The sequence below is a fragment of the Homo sapiens genome, chromosome 5 (genome assembly GCF_000001405.40).
Source record: "Homo sapiens chromosome 5, GRCh38.p14 Primary Assembly".
Taxonomy (NCBI): domain Eukaryota; kingdom Metazoa; phylum Chordata; class Mammalia; order Primates; family Hominidae; genus Homo; species Homo sapiens.
In genome coordinates, this window is record NC_000005.10 from 142589810 (window position 1) to 142610783 (window position 20974).

At 42.8% G+C, this 20974-nt stretch overlaps 1 protein-coding gene across 27 annotated transcripts in view; it reads right to left on the reverse strand.

Annotated features, from left to right (window-relative positions):
* Positions 1–2368: 2368 nt before the first annotated feature.
* FGF1 (fibroblast growth factor 1) overlaps positions 2369–20974 on the reverse strand; it is a 105893-nt gene continuing 87287 nt past the window's right edge. For 15 of the 27 annotated variants that reach the window (NM_001257205.1, NM_001144935.2, NM_001354952.2 and 12 more), the window contains 2 exons: positions 10893–10996; positions 2369–5675 (listed from right to left, as the gene is read on the reverse strand). In NM_001257205.1, coding sequence (NP_001244134.1) covers positions 5481–5675; positions 10893–10996 — 299 coding nt within the window. In that variant the 3' untranslated portion in view covers positions 2369–5480. The remainder of the gene's footprint in view (positions 5676–10892; positions 10997–20974) is intronic. The other 12 variants (NM_001354962.2, NM_001354964.2, NM_001354961.2 and 9 more) reach the window with 3 other exon arrangements.

A 20974-nucleotide genomic window follows, 5' to 3' on the forward strand; every position in this document is an offset into this window, starting at 1 on the left:
GCATTTTATAAAGCAAACCCACCCTCTGGCTTCAGGCTGTGTGTGACCTGGTTTCTCTTTTTAATTTTATAACTAGGGTGGAAAGCTAACAGTGTAGTATGTCATGGTCAATATGTCAACCGCAAAGTGGGTCCAATGTTGCAGAAAGATTCCAATAGTCATTTAGTACATTTCCCTTGTTACTTGAGAGAATGGTAGTTCAATCACTAGGGTCTGGAGTCCCTAGTGTCAGATCCCCAAGCCTAAAGCTCTGAGTTCTCTGAGTGGATTTTAGTGTACATTTATATACAATGGCAAAAGGAGTTTTTTCTGGGGGGTGGAGGACAGCTTTGGGGAGTGGATTCGAAGGAGGGGGTGCCACTTTTTAATAGCCATTATTTCAATTTTAACGGTCATCAAACAAATCATCCCTAGTCATTTTGAAATGGAGAACATACAAGTCTTGCTGCTCAGTTGGGCTTAAATATTTCCACATTGTCACTACTGCTTCTAAAAATATTTTTTGTTAATTTGTGAAAGTGTAGTTGACAGCACATTTTTGTCTGATGTGCTACTACTACCATACTAGCTAATATAACAACCCAAAAGTGCTTAGGATTGGAGATTCCTCCTCTCTTCCCACCCCATGATAAATGGGACATCACTCAGATAAATATGAAAAGTGAAGACTATATTTATATTTTTCTCTTTGTGGTCAAGTTCACTGACAGGAGGTCCATTCTCAGCCACCCACACCCCACCAAATATTTAAGACATAGAATTACTTTGTTTAGTTGGTTCAGCCAAGATGGAAAATGCAGATCCCTGTATAAGCTGCATACCAGGAACAATGGTGTTTAGCTTATGACTGAGCCAGGAATGGCACACTTTTTAAAAGGTAGATAAGAGGTGAGAGAGGATCATTTCCAGAAAGTGATGGGAGCTGGGGAAGATGCATAGAGGCCCCAGGTTATAGCCTTTTCTTGGTTCAATCTGCTTTTTATGTTTTTATTAGATATGGTTAAGAACTAGGAATTGGTGAGGGGTTGGGGAGGCAACAGAGAGGAATGAAGTGAAGACTGTGGGAGTTAGGGAGGGAATGACTTCAAGACCCAACGTGATGAGAATTCCAAAGGAGGGGGAGGGGGGGTCAAAGTCTCCAGGGCTTCCAAGAGCAGAAAAATCTGCTAGACCAGCCTTGGAGGCAGCAGTGGGCGCCCATGGAATCTGTTCCATTACATTCATTTTGCATGATTAGCAGCAAACCAGGCTAAAAGAATTAACAGAGCCTTCAAAACAGATGGTTCCTGGGTAACAGGATGTCCTCTTGTCTTGTTTACTCAAGAACAAACTGCGTCTTTGAAAACACTAAAGTCATAACACAAGATCCTCATTGGGTCTCGCCATCTTTGGGAAGAACAGTTGCTTTAAGTCAGTGTTTTTCAAACTGCGGTTGTGACCCATGAATGTTGTCAACCAAGTTAAATGCTGTTTGACTAGTGTGTTTTAGTGGAATGTAACTGAAGAATCAAAGTGCCCCTCATCTAGTTTTGCGAAATTTTTGTTTCAGTGGTGTGTATGTATAACAGTATGTATGTGCCAGTTTGTAATGGAAAATTAGTTCTTATGGTGGAGCAAGATCCAAAAAGTAGAAAAATATTGCTTTAGGCAACTTTAGAAGGAAAAGAAAGGATTGACTGTGGTATACCAATATTGTGGTATGTAATTAGCAGAGTGAGCACACTCTCCCCACCTTTTTCCTTAGACGATGCGTGTGCATCTGTGTGTGTGCCTGTGTGTGTGATTCTGCATGATGTACTAGGCAGCAGCGTACTTCCTCCTAAGAATAAGATGTCATAAGATCCAGAGGTTTATTTAAGGAAACACTGCTTAAAATGATAATTTAGAAAATCTGAGAAGCAAATCTATAGCTCCACACCAGGGCTCTTAAGATGAAGAGATCCACCCTCTTGCCATTGACTTAAAATTGTAAATAAGTCCTTAAATGTTTTTTTTTTTTTTCAGGCCATATCATATCTTTGCCTAAGCACGAGCCAGTCACCTCAACAATAGTAGCATAATTTTACATGGTTTATGTTAAGAAGAAAAAGTTTCACCTGAGTTATTTATGGTGCCTGGCTCCTCAGGAGGCGAATTTCCTGTATATGTATATTACCCTAACAGAAATGTAGAAAATCACCCATACTGCCTTCTGTTTCCAAACACATTGAAAAATGTTTCTACCTTCGCATTCCCTGTTAGCCTTTAAAGTCTGACATCTGGTAACAAGGTAAGTATCGAAAACTAAGCAGCCACACCTCAGGGATGCTGGGGAGGTCCTTTGATAGAAAGATGAGGCAGCAGGATGCTCAGAAACTCAGAGACATTATCACCTATTATTGGAACATTTATTAATATTTGTAAGGTGCAGACTATGATACACAAAAAGACAGTGATGTGAAATAACAGGCATCTTCATCAGAGGTCTGCTTTGCAGCCTGTGAGTTTAGTTGTCAGCAGTACACTCAAGGCTGAGGACTTGGCGCCTTGGGTTCCTTTGCCTCTGACACAAAGCAAGGACCTTCAGTACTAGCTGATGCTCCAATCAGTTTTTTGTTCATACACACTGTTGGCCATTGTGAATCTTTCTTATCATGCCTTCCAAGGAAACCAATACCTACCTCCACCACCATCACATTGCAAACGACCAAAAGCACATATGTTCATGATGCTTTGTTCAGAGCTGGCCCGAAAATGAATCCATATGAGAGTCACGTGACAGGAGCTGGCTATGAGACTTACTTAAGACAGCAATGGGAATGTCCCCAGGTTAATAAACTAGAGCATGTTCAAAACAGAGCAGGGAACTACCAACCTCTTCCTTCTAAGAAGATCTGACAGGCTCTTTGGCTGATTTGAAAGCAGTCCCCCTGAAGCTGACCCGGTTCTAAAGTTGAAAATGCTAAGTTTACCTTGCCATGTCCTCTGACATTTTGATAGGGGTTTATTTTATGCTGGGGTTGCTGATTCTTCCAAAATCTGGGTTTCTGGGATTTGCTTTATTCAGCAGGAACCTACAAAGTCTGTGTTTATTCTTGACTGAAAGAATTGAATCCACAGCATCTTTCATCATAAATATAATGCCCTGGGAGAAGATACAGCAGCAAACCAGACAGACAAGGTCCCCAGTATCCAGTACAGTGCCTAGCACACAGTAGGCACCTTAATAGTCATTGAACAGATATATGAATGATATCTGGGCTGAGATGGTCGAGGTCACATTGGTGTTTTTACTACAATGCTTTGCATCTCCGAAATCACAGACTTCCATTTCACAAGTTAGCAATGGTATTTAATTTTCCTTGGCCAATGTTATGCTTGAGTTTGATTCATACAATAAAAAGTATGGACCATTATAATTATCTTAGATTTCCTCTCTGGGTATCTTTTTCTGGCCAAATCTTCATACTAAAGAGACGTTAAGCCACACTGCATTTTCTCTAACTTGCCTGCAAAGATTTACTAAAATAAAACAGATTGATCTTATCCAAGTAACAAAAACAAAAAAGTTATGAAATTATTTTGCTGCACAAATCTAAAATACTATTATTAACCATAATGTCAGCTTACTTAGGTCAATTCTTCAATTGCACTATTGCTTTGAACTTTCACAAACTGTCATTTTCCTTCCATTCTAAATATGACAGTTCAGTTACTAAGGAATTGTTTTTAGTTAACAATTACTTCAATTTCATATGAAACAGGAGCTAACACTCTCATCAATTTTTATTCACAATTACCATTGCTTAAGAGTTCCTACTTTCAAAAGAAAATTTGTAATAGCACAGTGGAAAACAAAAATCTCATTTTATAGGTAAATAAGTATCAGATAAGTGAGTAGCTTATACATTGTATCCTATTACTATCATTCTCAGTGCCTGAATACTAATCAGTTTAACTGCTTTCAAGCTATATATTTTTAAATGCAATTAAAACATACAGTCTCACAGTAAATTTCAATGACTTATTAAAGGCCTTTACATGGCATCAGTATCATATGTTAGAGATGAATGGTGTTTCTAATTTGCTAGCCACCTGGGTCAAGTTTAAGCAGGAAGTGTATTTATACAAGTAATGGTAATACAAATGGTCTCCTGGGAAAAGCTGTTGGTAAGGGTTTAACATTTTTGAAGTATGTTTTTGTATATCTTCGAAATGGGCATTTTATAGGCATTGGGCCAAAGCCTCTTAAAATCATGCTCCTTAGTACAGGCATAACTATTGTCAGTGCTGCCTGAATGCTCAGGTAGACTCATGAGGTGTGCATTTTTAAGGGTTAGTTGAGGTCAGGTGAGGTTCGGGGCGTCGAACCACCTTCATTTGAATAACTCTTTAGGACCAGGACCCTGCTCCTTAATGTATGGCGGGTAAGGCAGCAGTATTGTCAGCACCTGCACCTGGGGGGGACCTGATGGAACTGCAGAAACTCTGCCCCCAACCCACTGAATCAGAATCTCCATTCAAACCAGGTCCCCAGATGATCTGCAAGCACTTCAGTGTTGGAGAAGCACTGGGCTAGGACCCCAAAGCCTCTGCTTACCAGGGGCCAAGCACAATGTGTGGCATTACTTTCTTTTTCCTTCTCCTTCTGAAATCATCCTCTTTTTATGGTATCCCCTCAGCCAGTTTCCCTTTCTTTCTCTGCACTCCCACACTCAGTCCCCAGATCCACATGAATTTCCCAGCTCTGATATCCTTGCTTGTTATCAGGAAACCACTTCTAGTGCTCTCCACCTGAAGTCACCCAGGGCTCTCTGCTGCTGAGTAACCTTGGGAAGGTCAAGGCGTGGTAATGACTCCCAAGGATTTATTCTGCCTTCCTGCGGCTGGGCCTCCCTTTCTTCATTTATTCTACATGGAGATGCCATCCTTCTAAGTTACCCACCAAAATCCAATCTCTCTTTTCCATTTTAAATGCCTCTGTTCTGAAGGGGGGATTTCTTTGTCCCTGTTTCTGGTCATGGAATGCTGCCTTCCTAACCTGGCATGAAGCTTCTTTGCTAATATTTGCAGGGCACAGGAAGGACAAAAGGGAGCCATGCCAGATGTTTGGGGGAATCACAGATAGGGTTTACTCAGTAGAGGGAAATAGTGTGCAGTTACTAATGTCCCACTTAGCCGACCCCTTAACACACTTCATTTAGCCCCACTTTTGCATGGAGGGACTCAGCCTGCAAGAGGCAATTGGAGATCCAAACCCAGACCCAGACTGGCCAGCCAGTTGACTCCTAGAAGCAATTTGGTCCCTCTGTTCTAAACTGTGCAGGGGTAAAAGGCTCTGCAAAGAAGTGAACTGGGCATTTAGAAGCAAGTTGCTTACAAATTCAGGCTCTGTGGGCTGGGGGTTAGCGCAGCCAATGGTCAAGGGAACATTTTTGGGTCAACCAGGTGAGGACCCCTCGAAACTTCTCTGGAGTGGTCAACACCCAGAACAGATCTCTTTAATCAGAAGAGACTGGCAGGGGGAGAAACAAGATTGCTTTCTGGCCATAGTGAGTCCGAGGACCGCGTTTGCAGCTCCCATTCTTCTTGAGGCCAACAAACCAATTCTTCTCTGCATGCTTCTTGGATATATAGGTGTTGTAATGGTTCTCCTCCAGCCTTTCCAGGAACAAACATTCCTCATTTGGTGTCTGCTAAAAAGATAAAACCAAAAGAGAGTAGGACAATCAGTGAGTAGTTTCACATGGGGGTCCCCATTTACTAGCTGTGTGACATTGGGCAAAATACTAAAGCTCTCCATGCCTCAGTCTCCTTTTCAGGAAAATTGGGGTCATGGTGGAACTTATTTCACAGGGTAGTCATAAGGACTTAGAACAGCACCGGGCACTAAAGAGCTGTCAATATGCATTTGCTATTATTGTAAACTTCCTTTCCATTTAAAATCCATTGTAAAGTAATTAAGATGCTACTGATAAGAGCACTTCTAAGAGTCCTCAGGACTCTAGAATCTCCCACTGGGGACATTCTGCTCGACTGTAAGTACCTTGAGGGCAGGGCTGGATCTTTCATCTCTGTAGTGGCCTGGCACACAGGCCTGACCATGGAAAAACATTCCAAATAGGTAAAAACCAGACTGTGATGTAGTGGGTTGTTGTTGTTGCTGTTGTTTTAACTTGAAGGCTAGACTTAAAGAATAAACAAAAAGCTGCTAAAATGCCTTTTATCCTGGTGATTTTCACTAACGTCAGGATTTTACCTGAGTATTGTTATGAAGATATGCTTGTGCAAAATTTATCCTAAGCATGAAACATATCCTAGAATGTAGATTTTTTAAAATGAAAATAGCTTTATTTTTTGCTACTTATAAAAAGAATCTTATAAATAGATGCTACTTGTGGTCAGGCACAGTGGCTCATGCCTGTAATCACAACACTTTGGGAGGCTGAGGCAGGAGGATTGCTTGAGCCCAGGAGTTTGAGGCCAGTCTGGGCAACATAGCAAGACCCATTCTCTACAATTTTTTTTTTAATTAGCTAGGTGCCATGGTGTGTGCCTGTAATCACAACACTTTGGGAGGCTGAGGCAGGAGGATTGCTTGAGCCCAGGAATTTGAGGCCAGTCTGGGCAACATAGCAAGACCCATTCTCTACAATTTTTTTTTTTTTAATTAGCTAGGTGCCATGGTGTGTGCCTGTAATTACAACACTTTGGGAGGCTGAGGCAGGAGGATTGCTTGAGCCCAGGAATTTGAGGCCAGTCTGGGCAACATAGCAAGACCCATTCTCTACAATTTTTTTTTTTTAATTAGCTAGGTGCCATGGTGTGTGCCTGTCCTCCTAGCTACTTAGGAGGCTGAGGTAGGAGGATTGCTCGACCCCAGGAGTTTGAGGCTGTAGTGAGCTATGATTGTACCACTGCACTCTAGTCTGGGTGACAGAGCAAGAACCTGTCTCTAAAGAGTAATAAAAATGCTACTTATAAGAAGAATTGTACTTTTAAAAATATACCTTTACTTTGTAAAAAGAAAAAACTATCCCAAAACCCACCACCCAGATATAGGCAACTGTTAATCACTGATAAACATCCTGCCTTACATCTCTTTATGTACATACAGACTAGATAAGGCTATATGGATATAGACTTATGATATCATCAAAATGTCATGTTTTATTTGATGTTTTAAAAATGAACAACAAACCTATGAAAACATTCAATACTGCTAACGAGAAAAATGCAAATTAAAAATTATTTATCATATGTTAGCTATCCTATGTGCAAAGATAAAAAAAAATTTGTGCAAAGATAAAAAACCATTTGCAAGACTTAGAATGTGGGAACTAGGCACTGCCATGCACAGTTGGCGAGAAAAATTAGTGGAAACTTTCTGAAGACAATTTAGCAATATGTATCAAAATTTACAAGATGTATTACCTTTGACTCAGCAATTTCACTTCTAGGAATCTACCCCTAGGAGATGGTTGAGTAAGTGTACAACTGTATTTTTGAGGATGGTCTCTGAACCAATGGTTATAGGGGCAAGCGATTAGGAGTAACCTATATGTCCATGGAAAGGTGATTGGTTAAGTGGGTAAAAGAATATCCGTACAGTAGAACCCAGTGCAGCTGTACATTTATTAAGTTGAAAATCAGCCACAACGTATTAAAGAGTGCAGTTACTTGAAAAAAATCCAGCAACCACTATTTTGCTTACTTGTAGTCAATCTGTTGGTGGAAGGGGAACTCAGTTTTTGAACTTTCTATTCGTCAAGATCTTAGAATATATTTATTACATTTGGGTCTAAAACAGGTATATTAAAACACTTATGCTGGAACTGAGACATCTGACTTTGCTTTGCCTTTTTCAAGTCGTGTGACCCCTGCAGTCTCTCTTCACCCACAGTGGTTGGTGATTCCCTGTCTGGCGGTTTCCAATTATATTGTTCATTGTTCTCTATGTGTGAGCATGTTTGTTTCTTTAGATTATAAACCCTAGTGAGGAAGGAGATGGAATCTTGTTGGTCTTCTCTCCATCCCCCAGACACAGAGCCTTGCAAATAATAGGTGCTCACCAGCTAAGTAATGCATTTAATTTGATTCTTGAGATAATATAAAGCAGTCAGTAAAGTCAGCCTTTCTTAGTAAGGAACTGTGTAACAGGAAGTATCCTGCTTCTTATTCATTCATAATCTAGTGAAATGACAACAGGGTGAGACACTTTAGATCATATTGGAACAAGATGAGATATAAATATAATATTTTATTGGATGACTCTGCTGCCTCTAGAGGAACTTGGTGCAGACATTCGTGTTTGATGCATGTTGTTGGGGGTAGAAGGAGGTAGACAGCTTGGACCTATGTGGGTTGCCCACTCCCTTGTAGGGAGGACTCATGCCTGACACCTCATAGTGGGCATCAGGCCTGTGTTCTGTGACGAAGGTGAGGATGGCCACATTCCCCACCTGATGTCTCTATTATACTGGAGGAGTTGACACACACAAAATAGCTGAGTCACAGGCTGAGTCAGCAGGCCAGATCAGCGGTGCTCCGTCCCTCCACCAGGATTTGTTAGCACTCATTATGCACTTGGTACAATGCTGAAGACATGTGGCTTAACTATTGATTCATGTCTATTGTTTAAATTGTCTTCTTTTTTATATTTGGCATGTTTCCCCTCCCACCCTAAATTACATAGGTGACATATACTTACTGTAAAAAAAAAATTGGAAAATACAGGAAGTTATTCACATATTATAAAATCACCCATTCTCCACCCCCAGAGATAACTATATCAGTATTTTGATATATAGCCTTTCAAACTTAAAAAAAATATACATATCCTTTCCACACACACAAGTTTGAATCAGGATGGATTAGTGCCTAAATTTTATGAAGAGCATGAAGCAGAGCTTTGAGATATCTTAGAACTTCTCTTTATCAATGGGGAAAATGCAAACATTCTTAGGCGTAATATACTAAGATCATATTTCAGGTGAATTGTAGTGATGGCCACGGCTATGGTGGGAGAAGGGGGTGCCTGGAGCCTATCGGAAATTAGATTCTGGGAGTTCTCCCTCAATATTTTTATATAAGTGAAAGCAGGTTACAATAAACGTCAAAATTTATTTAAAGAGGGAAAAGCCATAAAACTGTGGCATAACCTAAGACACAGTGAGGGTGAGGGGCTTCTAAGCTGATGACTTGTCTTACAGCCACCACTGGTCTGTGACGTGCCAGCCACTCTGATGGGCGCATTCTGTGTGTTGCACCACTGAACCCATGTACGCTCTGTGTGAGGCGGTTATGATCCATGACTGTCCTCATTTTAGACAAAGCTCAGAGTGGGTAAGTGACTTGCCAGAGTGGCAGAGGCGTGAGATTCAATCATGAGTCTGAGACTAAGCGATTGACTGATGGATTGATTTTACTACCACTTGGAAGAACTACCTTAAAAAAATCCCCTACTGCCAAACCCCTTAAAGCCGTCCCAGGTGATCTGTACTGAGCACATAGCATTTTAGAGGTTACCTATTACGCTGATGATTTAATCTCCTGATCCCTAGTGGGCAGTGAGAGGAAACGAAGCTGTGTTCACATTGGGACCCTTGGCTGAGATGACAACTTCAAGAGAGGGTTTCTGTGCCCTCTGTCACTTGGCAATTCGATGTAAGTTGAAGCTCCAGACTAAAATTCCCCCTACTGACTGTCTTTTTGAAGACATCTTCATAAAAGGGAGGAAAGGGGTGTGGATTGGGCTAGGAATTACAGCCAAGCCTTAGTTTATCAACTGTTAGGATACAGAGGAGGGAACATTAAAATCTAGAAATAACTTCAAAACCCGCAGTCATTGGTTTAAGCTGTCTCTCCAGTTAACTCCTGTCACAGAGATACCAATAGGGGCAAAATCACATTGCCTCTATTTCTATTCCTTTCCCATAAAGACCTATCTATACATGGTCAAACCTGTATAAAGCACTAGCTATGATAGGGAAAGGGCAGGGAACATGGAGGATTTTAGCTACTGAAGAAACAATTAGACTATGCCTCTCCATTGCAGCTCATTCATCCTCACACCCTTTCAGTACCTAACATGGCACTTAGACACAGGAGACATTTGATAAATGTTGAATTAAGTTATTAAGCTTTCTATCCTTTTAGGTGATCCTTTCAGAATAAAAGGGGCTATTTTCAAAGTTTTGTGCATGACATATAAACTATGAAAGCCCAGGCTCTGCCATTTGTGTAAAAAGCAATAAGAGACACACCTATAGCACGTAGTACCTAGGTACTCAAGAAACATTTTTGGGCTGTGTGTGGTGGCCTATAATCCCAGCACTTTGGAAGGCTGAGGCCGCTCGAGCCCAGGAGTTTGAGACCAGCCTCAGCAACATAGTGAGACCTTGTCTCTACAAAAAATAAAAACATTAGCTGGGCATGGTGGTATTCATCTGTGGTCCCAGCTACTCAGGGGGCTGAGGGGGGAGGATTTCTTGAGCCCAGGAGTTCGAGGCTTCAGTGAGTCATGATTGTGCCACTGCACTCCAGCCTGGGCGACAGAGCCAGACCCTGTCTCAAAGTGAAAAAAAGAAAGAAAAACATTTTTGGAATGAATGAATGAATGAATGGAATGGGATTAGATATTCTAAAATGAGTGATTGAAGAGTTACCAAAACATCAATCAATCTTTACTCTGTGTTTATATGATAATACATTTGAGAGTTTTGAGAGAATACTACAAGAAACTCTTTTATGTTTGTGCCTAAAATAAAGCAGAGTGAGGGTGGGAATCCTTCTGGAAAAAATAACAAACAGAGACTAATTGTTGCTTTATAGTTTGCCTCACTCCATGTAACAAGATTTCTGGAAACCTCAAACCTTGGCCACGTCTGGAAGCATGTCAGCTTCATACTTACTGAGCCGTATAAAAGCCCGTCGGTGTCCATGGCCAAGTACTGGCCAGTCTCGGTACTCTTTATATACACCTCCCCCACGCTTTCCGCACTGAGCTGCAGCTGAACTGGAATAAAAATAACACGAGCAAAAGTAAATAAACACTACGCTTTTGCCGATAGGACCCGGCAGCCAGGACAGTTGGCCATGGAAAATTCTGCTCATTCATTTCACGGAGCCCTCAGGGATGAGCCTCAGATTAATCAAAACATAGAAATACAGTCCCTTTTTCTTTGCCTTCCAAAGAAAGCTGTCCATTGGGAATTACGTCCTTGGGAAAGGAAGGAGAGACAACGGCCGGCTCACCTACCTGTCCACCCTGTTGGTTACAAAATGACCCTGAGTGCACCTTCACGGTGCCTCGCTCCTTTCTTTCTGTCACTTGTAGGAAAATAATCACAGGAGGAAATGGCACTCACTCCCCCGGGCTCCCTCATCCCTGCAATCTTGGGATGCCATAGAGTAGGATCTGGCCAGCCTGCATGTGTTCTGCTTTCATTATCAACCTGCACAGGGGTGCCTTTTAATTGTCTGGGCCTTCTAGTCATGGGAGAGATTCCTGTCCGCAGATCGTTATTTTATAAAATCTGAGATTGCTGTTTTCCCTGAGACAGAAGAGGTTCCCAGGGAGTTAGGACTGGTTGCCACATATGAAACTCGGGGAACTCCCTCACAATGAAGTTTCCGTCAATCCCTCAGCCTCTATGGCAACCCACCTGGGGTAGAGGCAGAGGGGAGATCACCAGCTTCTGATGGGGGGAGAATGAAGCCGTTACCTGGAAATGCAGTGATGAGAACAGTGGTTCTCAACTGGGGGTGATTTTGCTCCAAAGGGGACATTTGGCAATCTCTGAAGACAGTTTCTGTTGTCACAGCTAGGGGGGGCGGGTGCTACTGGCATCTAGTGGGTAGAGGCCAGAGATGCTGCTAACATCCTACAATGCACAGGGCAGCCCCCAACAGCAAAGAATTTTCCAGCCCAAAAGTCAGCAGCGTCCAGGTTGAGAAACCTGGAGATGGAGGGAAAGGACTATGAGTTACAGAGTCACACTCTCCTCATTCACACTGATTGACACTCCCAAGGTGCTGGACACTTAATTGGAATCCAATGTCCATTTGATAATTATTAACTTGTTTATTCACCCTAGGGTGCCCTCTTGAGAAAGGTGCTTTGATAATTCACATTTGGGAATTGGAATTAATTCTAGACTCTTCGGGATAATTTATTTGGTCACTAGACCGTCACAACCATCATTACAACTAGGAGTGAAATCTAGACCAGGAACCAGTGGCTGCCCAATAGTTAGTTCCCTAGGAGGATGAGGGGGCATCTCTGAGGTTCATCTTGGCAGAGGCCAAGGGGCAGGAGAGGCTGGAACACACAGAGCTTTGGTTGGTAGATCTCGACCCCTCATTGCCTTTTCTTTGTGTTCTTTTCTTTTTTTTTTTTTCTTTTGAGACGGAGTCTTGTTCTGTTGCCCAGGCTGAAGTGCAGTGGCGCGATCTCGGCTCACTGCAAGCTCTGCCTCCCGGGTTCAAGCAATTCTCCTGCCTCATCCTCCCCAGTAGCTGGGATTACAGGCATGCACCACCATGCCCGGCTAATTTTGGTATTTTTAGTAGAGATGGGGTTTCACCATGTTGGCCAGGCTGGTCTCGAATTCCTGACCTTATGCTCTGCCTGCCTCAGCCTCCCAAAGTGCTGGGATTACAGGTGTGAGCCACTGCGCCTGGCCTGTTTTCATTTTTAATTTAATTTCTTTGAATAGGAAATATACTTCCATTTTCCCAAACAGCAGAGGAGATAGTGAAAAGCTTCGTTCTGGAGTGCACATCTCCTGGGGGGATGCAGAAACAAGGAAACCCCTCCTAGACACCTTGTGTGTGTATCCTTTCTAGAGAGCTTGTGTGCGTATATTGCAAAAGACATACTATCTCATACTAATGGTAATGTACTGAGCACACAGTTCTGCACCTTGCTTTTTTTTTTGCTTAACAACTAATTGTAGATCTTTCTACATCAGGATGGAAAGAGTAAACTTCTTTCTTCTTGCTGATTGAATTGTGTTCCATTATGTAGCTATACCATAATTGTTTAACCATTTCTCTGTTAATATGCCTGTATTTTCTTATTTCTCTTTGCCTTCCTTATCTCCTGATTCACCCCCAGGATGATTCATAGTTTCATCACCTTTACCTAAGATGCAATTCTCCCTTCCTTGGAAGTCTTTGCTATAGAGACTCAGGACTTCCTCTAGCTTCCAGTGGCAACTGGAGTTTATTTAATTCACAGGAAGGAACTGGAAGCCACTGATGCACTTTCTCACGGGTCCTCCTAGGAATGGTTAGCTCTGAGAGTGTAGCCGTGAGGGAACAGGCCTATGGGCCTCCACTGTAAGCTGGGCCCTGCTCTCTCGAGCCTTCAGTCACACCACTTGCTCGCTCTTTCTGCTCCTATTAAACTTCAAACTTTCCCTGTTTTCCTGGGATCTTTGCACATGCTATAGCCTTCTCTCTGGGACATTCTTCCTCCAGATATTCACAAGGTCCTTCTCCTCCAGGCCTCAGCCTAAATATCCTAAAAGAGGCCCTCCCCAGAGTGTGTGACACTCTGCGCACGGGGTCCTTTCATCCCCACCCCATTCTCCCTGCCAATACCACCCTCCCCCACATCCTCTTCCTCCTCTGCCCCTTGTTTCTTTCATGGCACTTAGTACAACATGCAATGATTTTATTATCTAGGGAGCTACTGATCTATTTCTGCCTCCTCAGGAAAGTGTACACTCTGAGAGGAAGGGCAGAGATCTTGTCCTGTTCCCTCTGGGGTCCTCAGCACCTCCTACAGTGCCCTGCACACAGGGGGCAGTCTACATTATTTGGTGAATGAATGGTGTTGGGCTAATATTGGCAGAGATGATTCTCCTGGCCCATTATCAATAAGCTGTGCACTTTGAATTATGTCTCCAATAACTCTCTGAGGGGGGCAGTAAGATGGGACCACGTGGAGAGTTGTAAGGCTCAAGGCTGGGCTCTGAGCTGAGTGATCTTGGCTAGGCTGCATAGCCTCTTAGACACAGTCTCTTTTTCAGTAAAATGAGGGGTATTTGCGCTCAGTCTCCATAAAGTTATTTCTCAGTCTAACAGTCTATGGAGCAAGTAGATACATGGAATGCCAATAGAATATTCTTTGGCAATAAAAAGGAACAGAGTTCTGAGGCATGCCACAACACAGATGAGTCTGGAAACAGTGCTGAGTGGGAAGAAAGCATCACAAAGGACCATGTGTTTTATGTTTCCATTTAAATGAAATGTCCAGAATAGGCAAATCCATAAAGACAGCAAGTAGATTCAGGGTATCCAGGGCCAGGGTGGGTGGAGATGGGGGAATTATGGTTAAAAGGCATGGGGCTTCTTTTGGAAAATATTCTAAAATGGATTGTGGTGTTGGTTGCACAACTCTGTTAAGTTGTAAGAAAATCCATTGCATTGTACAACTTAAATAGGTGAATTGTATGGTATGTGTGTTATCTCAATAAAGCTGGTTTTTTTTTAAATGGTTATCAGACTTTATGGTTTTCAGAGAACCTTCACATATACTTTTGTGTCAATTTCTCAGCATAATCCTATATGTTTAAGAGAGATCAAAGGAAGGGGCTAACTTTTATTGATCACCTACAATGTGCCAGGCACCATGCTAGTTTCTATCTTGATATAAACAGTATAAAATTAAAGAGTGTGGGCTCCAGAACACAACTGCATGAACTCAAGTTCTGCTTGGCTGCCTATTAGCTGTGTGATCATCGGGCAAAGTATTTGCCTCTGTTTCCTTATCTATAGTGGGAGTTGTTGTAAGGGCTAATGCATGGAAAGTGGCCAGTACTCGTATGACTGTTTCCTCTGTGCTTTTGTGGCCTTTTCTCCTCGAAGTGTTCCCTGGAGGAAGGTGGTGCTTGCTCTGTCCTTTGGTGAAGAGCTGAAGTTTGGTGAGAGTGTGTTTTATGCAATGTTATACTTCTAAGAAGGGGAAAAATCATGACCAGACCCCAGGTCGAGTACTCCAAGTATCCTACTTTTTCCTGTCTTTCACACAATCTCTTGGGCTCCAATTATGGGAATGGATTGATCCAAATCCAGCGATACTCTCCTGCTTGGACCCTCTTGTGTTCAAGATCACACATGGACAAGATGGTGGGTGGCCATCCAGGATCCCATCTGTAGCCATGGAATGGAGTGAGGTTAGTTGCCTGGGACTCTTTTCAACCTATCGCCCATATATGTAGATATTTAGTCAAACACATTATAGGTGCGACAGAAACCCCAAAGGGGAGGTCTTTTTAGGTAATCAAGGAAGTTTTTTTTGTTTGTTTGTTTCTTTTTTCTTTCTTTTGAGATGGAGTCTCACTCTGTTGCCCAGGCTGGAGTGCTGTGGTGTGATCTCAGCTCACTGCAACCTCCACCTCCCAGTTCAAGCGATTCTCCTGTCTCAGCTTCCCAGGTAGCTGGGATTACAGGCACGCACCATCATGCCTGGCTAGTTTTTTTTTTTTTTTTTTTGTATTTTTAGTAGAGACAGGGTTTCATCATGTTGGCCAGGATGGTCTTAAACTCCTGACTTCAGGCGATCCACCCCCCTCGGCCTCCCAAAATGCCGGGATTACAGGCATGAGCCACCGTGCCCAGCCAATCAAAGAAGATTTTTAAAAAGCTTTTCATTTCCTATGCATTTCTGTTTTGCTGCCTTCAATAGCACCCACTTGTCTGGCCATGGGGCTGAATAGGGTTGGCTTTGCCATCTGTGGAGTTCCATCATGGCCATGAAGAGGCCTCATAGAGGTAAACAAGAGCCAGAGGCCTGCTTAGCACATGACTTCAGCCCTCAGCCATGAGTCCCGACACCAGGTTTGTTGTGCCGGTGAGAGTTCGTCTCAAAAGTTTCCTCTGTAAATATTATTTCTCCAGGATGTCCAAGTTTCATAGCTCATTTTCACTAGATTTCTTTCTGGCTAAGTTTCCTAAACATATATCCTTCTGCAAGTAGGGCTGGCAGGAAGGAGCAACACCCAGGCTGAGCGGCTTGTGTAGCTGGCTTGGTGTCCAGCTCTCTAGTGTGACTTCATTCCAGTTTTCCAGACCTACATCCTCTTGCAGCTGCTGCTGAGGACAGGCAAGGAAGGAGAGAGCATGAGAAAGTGGGGCCTTGGGAAGAGAGGGAGGGGCTGGCCACACAGCAGCAGCTTTTTCCTCGGGTAGCAGCTCAGGGTTGGGGGACAGAAAACCATTCAGTCAACACATATTCATCTACTAGGTGCTGGGACTTACGCTCAGCGCCAGCCATGGTCCCTGCACTTGGGGCTTCTGCATGATTAGGGATACAGACAAATGAACCTGGGAGTGATACAGCAACACAATAACAAAAGCTGCAATTGTTTTTGAGCTAAAAGCAAACAAAAGCACAAAATCTGCAACATTCTTTCTCTCTCTGTGTGTGTGTGTGTGTGTGTGTGTGTATGTAGTTTTTTTTTTTAATCCCCTTTCAAAGAAAGGTAGAATATAACATACAGTGAAAAAAACTAAATTGCAATGGGAGAATATAGTAAATCCTTGATGAAAATCATATTAAAAAACACAATGCATTCAGGAGGCCGAGGCAGGTAGATCACGAGGTCAGAAGATCAAGACCAGCCTGGCCAACAGGGTGAAACCCCGTCTCTACTAAAAATACAAAAAAAAAAAAATTAGCCAGATGTGTTGGTGGGCGCCTGTAATCCCAGCTACTCGGGAGGCTGAGGCGAGAGAATTGCTTGAACCCGGGAGAAGGAGGTTGCAGTGAGCCGAGATCGTGCCACTGCACTCCAGCCTGGCGGCAGAGCGAGATTCCATCTCAAGAAAAGAAAAGAAAAAGAACACAATACGTGTGTAGCTCATGAATACATCTATAGTAAAATATAAAACTGTGCACCAGATACTGACCAGATTCATACAAGTAGCTGCTTTGGGAAGGATAAGAGGAACTAAGACTGGGAGAGGAATTGAGGAAATGTTTCCTTCATCCTAACTCTATTTCTTTATAAACAGTTCTGAGGTAAGAACAGCCAGCTGGTGACACTGGAGGACTCTGAGTGATAGGATTCCTAGTGTTTGCTGGTGTTTAGTCTATATCTAGTGCATAGTTTTCTATTTTACTACGTATGCATGAACTATGCATATTGTTTTGTGTATTTTACAAAATTTTCATCAGGGATTTGCTATGATCTCCCCTGATTCTCCTTCATACATTTTAGGATGGTAGCTGATGTGTTAAAGCTCCGTTCATAGTCAATGGGACACTTAGAGCTGGCCAAGACTCCCACTTTTTGTTCCTCGTGACCCCTGAGATGTTTTATGACCCAGCTTAGGTTTGAGTCCATGTTGCATCTAGACCAGAGCATAGGCACTTATAAAAGGTGGGTCTTCTTGGGGGCAGACAGGGACCCAGGAGAAATGGGGAGGCAGGACGGGTGGATGAGGCACCTCTAAAGCTCTAACTTCTCTGTCCACTCCCTTTTTCAATACCCCCCGACCAGGTTAGCGCACAGAGCAAATGAGGAGCAAGCACTCTTCTTTATCCCATACGGGGATCTAGGAGTTGCTATCTATGAACAGGAAGGTCAGTGTCTCTCAAGTATCCCAGGGATGAAGGGGCAAGTACTTTTTGAAAAACAAGATACGTCCATGGTCTGTAGGGTACTTCATTTTCCCCTTCTGAAATGGGGACATTAACAATTAATTTAGCTGAAGAAATGGAAAGCAACTTTTAAAAAGGTACTCTAACGATAGAAATTTCTTGGAGAAATTCAAACTCAGATAAAGCATTGTAAAAATGTACGGGAAGAGGGCTGGAAGTGTTTACTTGGTGGATTTGTGACTGTATGTGCCCGCAATAGAATCCAGAGTCCTGCTCCTTTACTAAGAATGAGTTAAGAAGTGTTGGTTTGAAAACAGCCTATTTGTCAGAACTACATGTCAATGAAACTGAAATGTGCAAACTCACCTTTGTGGGTCATGGTCTTCCTTGTCCCATGCTCATTATTTAAACTGCTTCACGAGTCCCTGCATACCTGGGAAACCTACATAAAGGGGAGCCCAGAGCTTTTGCATGGCTGTGCTAGCCCGCAACTCACTGTTCACACCTTTTGTCTGAGGAACTAAGTTTGTAGCTTTGGTTTTCTCCTCTGCTCCCCAAAGCCTTCCATTAGGTCTTAGCAGTAGTTTGTTCACAGTAAGAATAGCAATCCCTTACTTTCCAAAGGTAGAAAAAAGGAAAAAGGGTTATGATCCTGCCAGTGCCAAGAGAAGTCAACTTTGAGGTCTTGCACCCTGTTTCTGAGCCCCAAGCTATCCTAGCATCTTCCTGTCCCATCCCAGGCAAATGTAACGATAAGACCACAACTGGTGCATTCAATGAGGAAAATGCCTGGAGAGAGAGGTTCTGCTTCTGTAGCATGTCTGTCTGTGGCCTCTAAGCCTGCTTTCCGCCTCTGCTCTCCAAAGAGAGGCCAAGAGAGATTATGTGCCTGGTTTATTCTGGGTTGGAGACTTCCCGTCCTTTGCCGTGTTTACCCAAAGTGAGGTCAGCCTCATTCAGAAATTGGTGCGGTTGTTTTATGTCAGTGACATTTATAATTAAAATGTAGCCACAAGCCGGGATTGGTAAAACATTAGAGAAAGACAGAGAAGGGGAAAAATCGAATTTGGGGGAAAATAATTCCAGTGGTAAAAAATATATATATATGCATATACATATATATAAATATATATACACATCTATATATATATATATATATATATATATATATATATATATATACACACACACACACATATATGTAAATATATATGAAAAAAAAAACCTTATCTTAAAAGGTGTCTGCTTCTTTAAGGTCTGAAAAAGTTGTCTGGAAAATTTTGATACAGTCCAGAGACTGAATGACATATATATATACACACACACATATATATCATATATATATAGTATATATACACATATATATCATATATATATAGTATATGTGATATATTATGTGTGTGTGTGTGTGTGTATTTTAAAGTTTATGTATAAAAATCCTCTATGTAATCAGATGAGGGTTGTGGGGAGGAGGGCAAGGAGTCCTTCCCATCACATATGACCGAGGTGAGAGAACCCTGTCGCGGAGTACATTCCTGCCTGGAGACCTCCCCTTCTCTCTGACTTCTGGCAGTGGGGTCCAGCTCTCCCCATCGTGGTCATTTGAAAAACTGTTTTGACTTCGGGTCTATGTTGGTGGGGAATAAAGTGCCTTAACTGCTAGGTGCTGAGTGATCCCAACCAGAAAATAGAAGTCTGGACTCCCCTAAAGCAACAGGGCAGGAGGCATTTCATGAAGAGGAATCTGCCCTTTAGAAAGGGCTGCAAGGTAGGATTGTTTTGACCAGTGAACTCTGCTAGCGCCTTTAGGATGTGGCTTGATTTATAAATATTTGATTGGCACGCACTTTGCTTAAGAACATTTCCATTTGTGCAGTGAGTGGTGCCGGTAATTCTGCTCCCCACGTAGTCTCTTGCGTGCTTGGGGAGCTGAGGAGTTGTGGGTGTGGCAGGCAGCTGAAGGTTTGGAATGCTTGTGAGGAAATTATTCTCTAATTATTGTTGCAGTTATTAATCCCATTGAGGGATAAGTCATGGTCCCCCTTCACCTGAGAGGAAACTCCCCAGAAAGATCAGAGTCAATCACAGAGCAGACTTGCCCTGCCAGAGGAGTGAGATGGGGCGGGGCTTGCTGCACCTGTGTCTGGGCACATTATGCCTCTGTGTCAGGCCTCAGGGGCTTCAACCCAGATAGTCCCAGAGAAGCTGGGACAAAGAGTCACCCTCAGTTCTGCGAGCAAGCATAGCATTCACTTAATCTAACAGACTTGAAAGGTCAGCTGGTTAGGTGAGGAAGGCTCAGGAATCCCGGAAGAATGATGATCAATACCATTTTTTTTGAGCACTTATGTGCCTAGCAGTGTGCTAAACACTCTTACAAACATTATCACATTAAAACTCCTACGTTCCTATGAGTGGGTGCTGTTGTCATTCTTGTTTTTAAAACAAGGAAACTGAGGCACATTGAGAAGTAACTGTCCCAGGATGATACAACTGGTGAACAGCAGTGTTGGGACCCGACCTACACCCATCTGATCCATAACACAGATGTGTTTATTGAATCAGTTTGTGGGGCGGAACCACTGTCATGATGTTGGTGTCGGATGGTTGTGGGATACAGAAGGAGCCTTAATCCTGGAAGCAGAAGATGTGGTTGGTGCCAAGCCCTCCCAGTTAGGAGCTGGTCACGCCTGTCAACTGCAGTGTTCTTAGAGTGATAATAATTAGTAACTTCTCAAGGTTGTGGTTAGGTAGAAGTGAAGGAGTTCAGCATAATGCCTAGCACATATCAGGGCTCATAGATGTTTATTGAATATATTGTTGACTTTGAATTTAGCTGCCACCAATACAATTCAGTCACTTATCAAATTAATGTTTACTGGACATTTTACCAAGTGGCAGGCAATGTGCTAGACACAAAATTTGTAGTGTTGAGCAATGAGAGACAAAGTCCTTGTCCTCTAGGAGTCCAGTAGGAGGGAAAACCATTAAATAATCGCACAAATAAATGGAGAATTATAACCCTGAGGACAGCTGCATGGTACGTGAGACACTCCTCAATGCTTGTGTCCAAAATGGAACTGGCCATCTTCCCCTGGACCTGATCTTCTTCCAGGACCTCCCCCTCTCATGGTGACACCACTTATGTGTCCCCCTGAGCTGAAGCTTAGGGGACAACATGAACCTTCTCACAAACTGTGCCCATCAGCCCTGGAATCTATGCAGCACTCCCTGGCTGATTCTGCCTGGCCTTCCTAGCATGGCAGCGTAACCAATGTTCACAGTCCATATTGGTAATTGCCTGCAGCAGCGATCTAAGGAATGGAAATGGGACAAACCAAAACCACCTTCTCTGCAGGCTAGAAGTCCACCAGTAGAGAC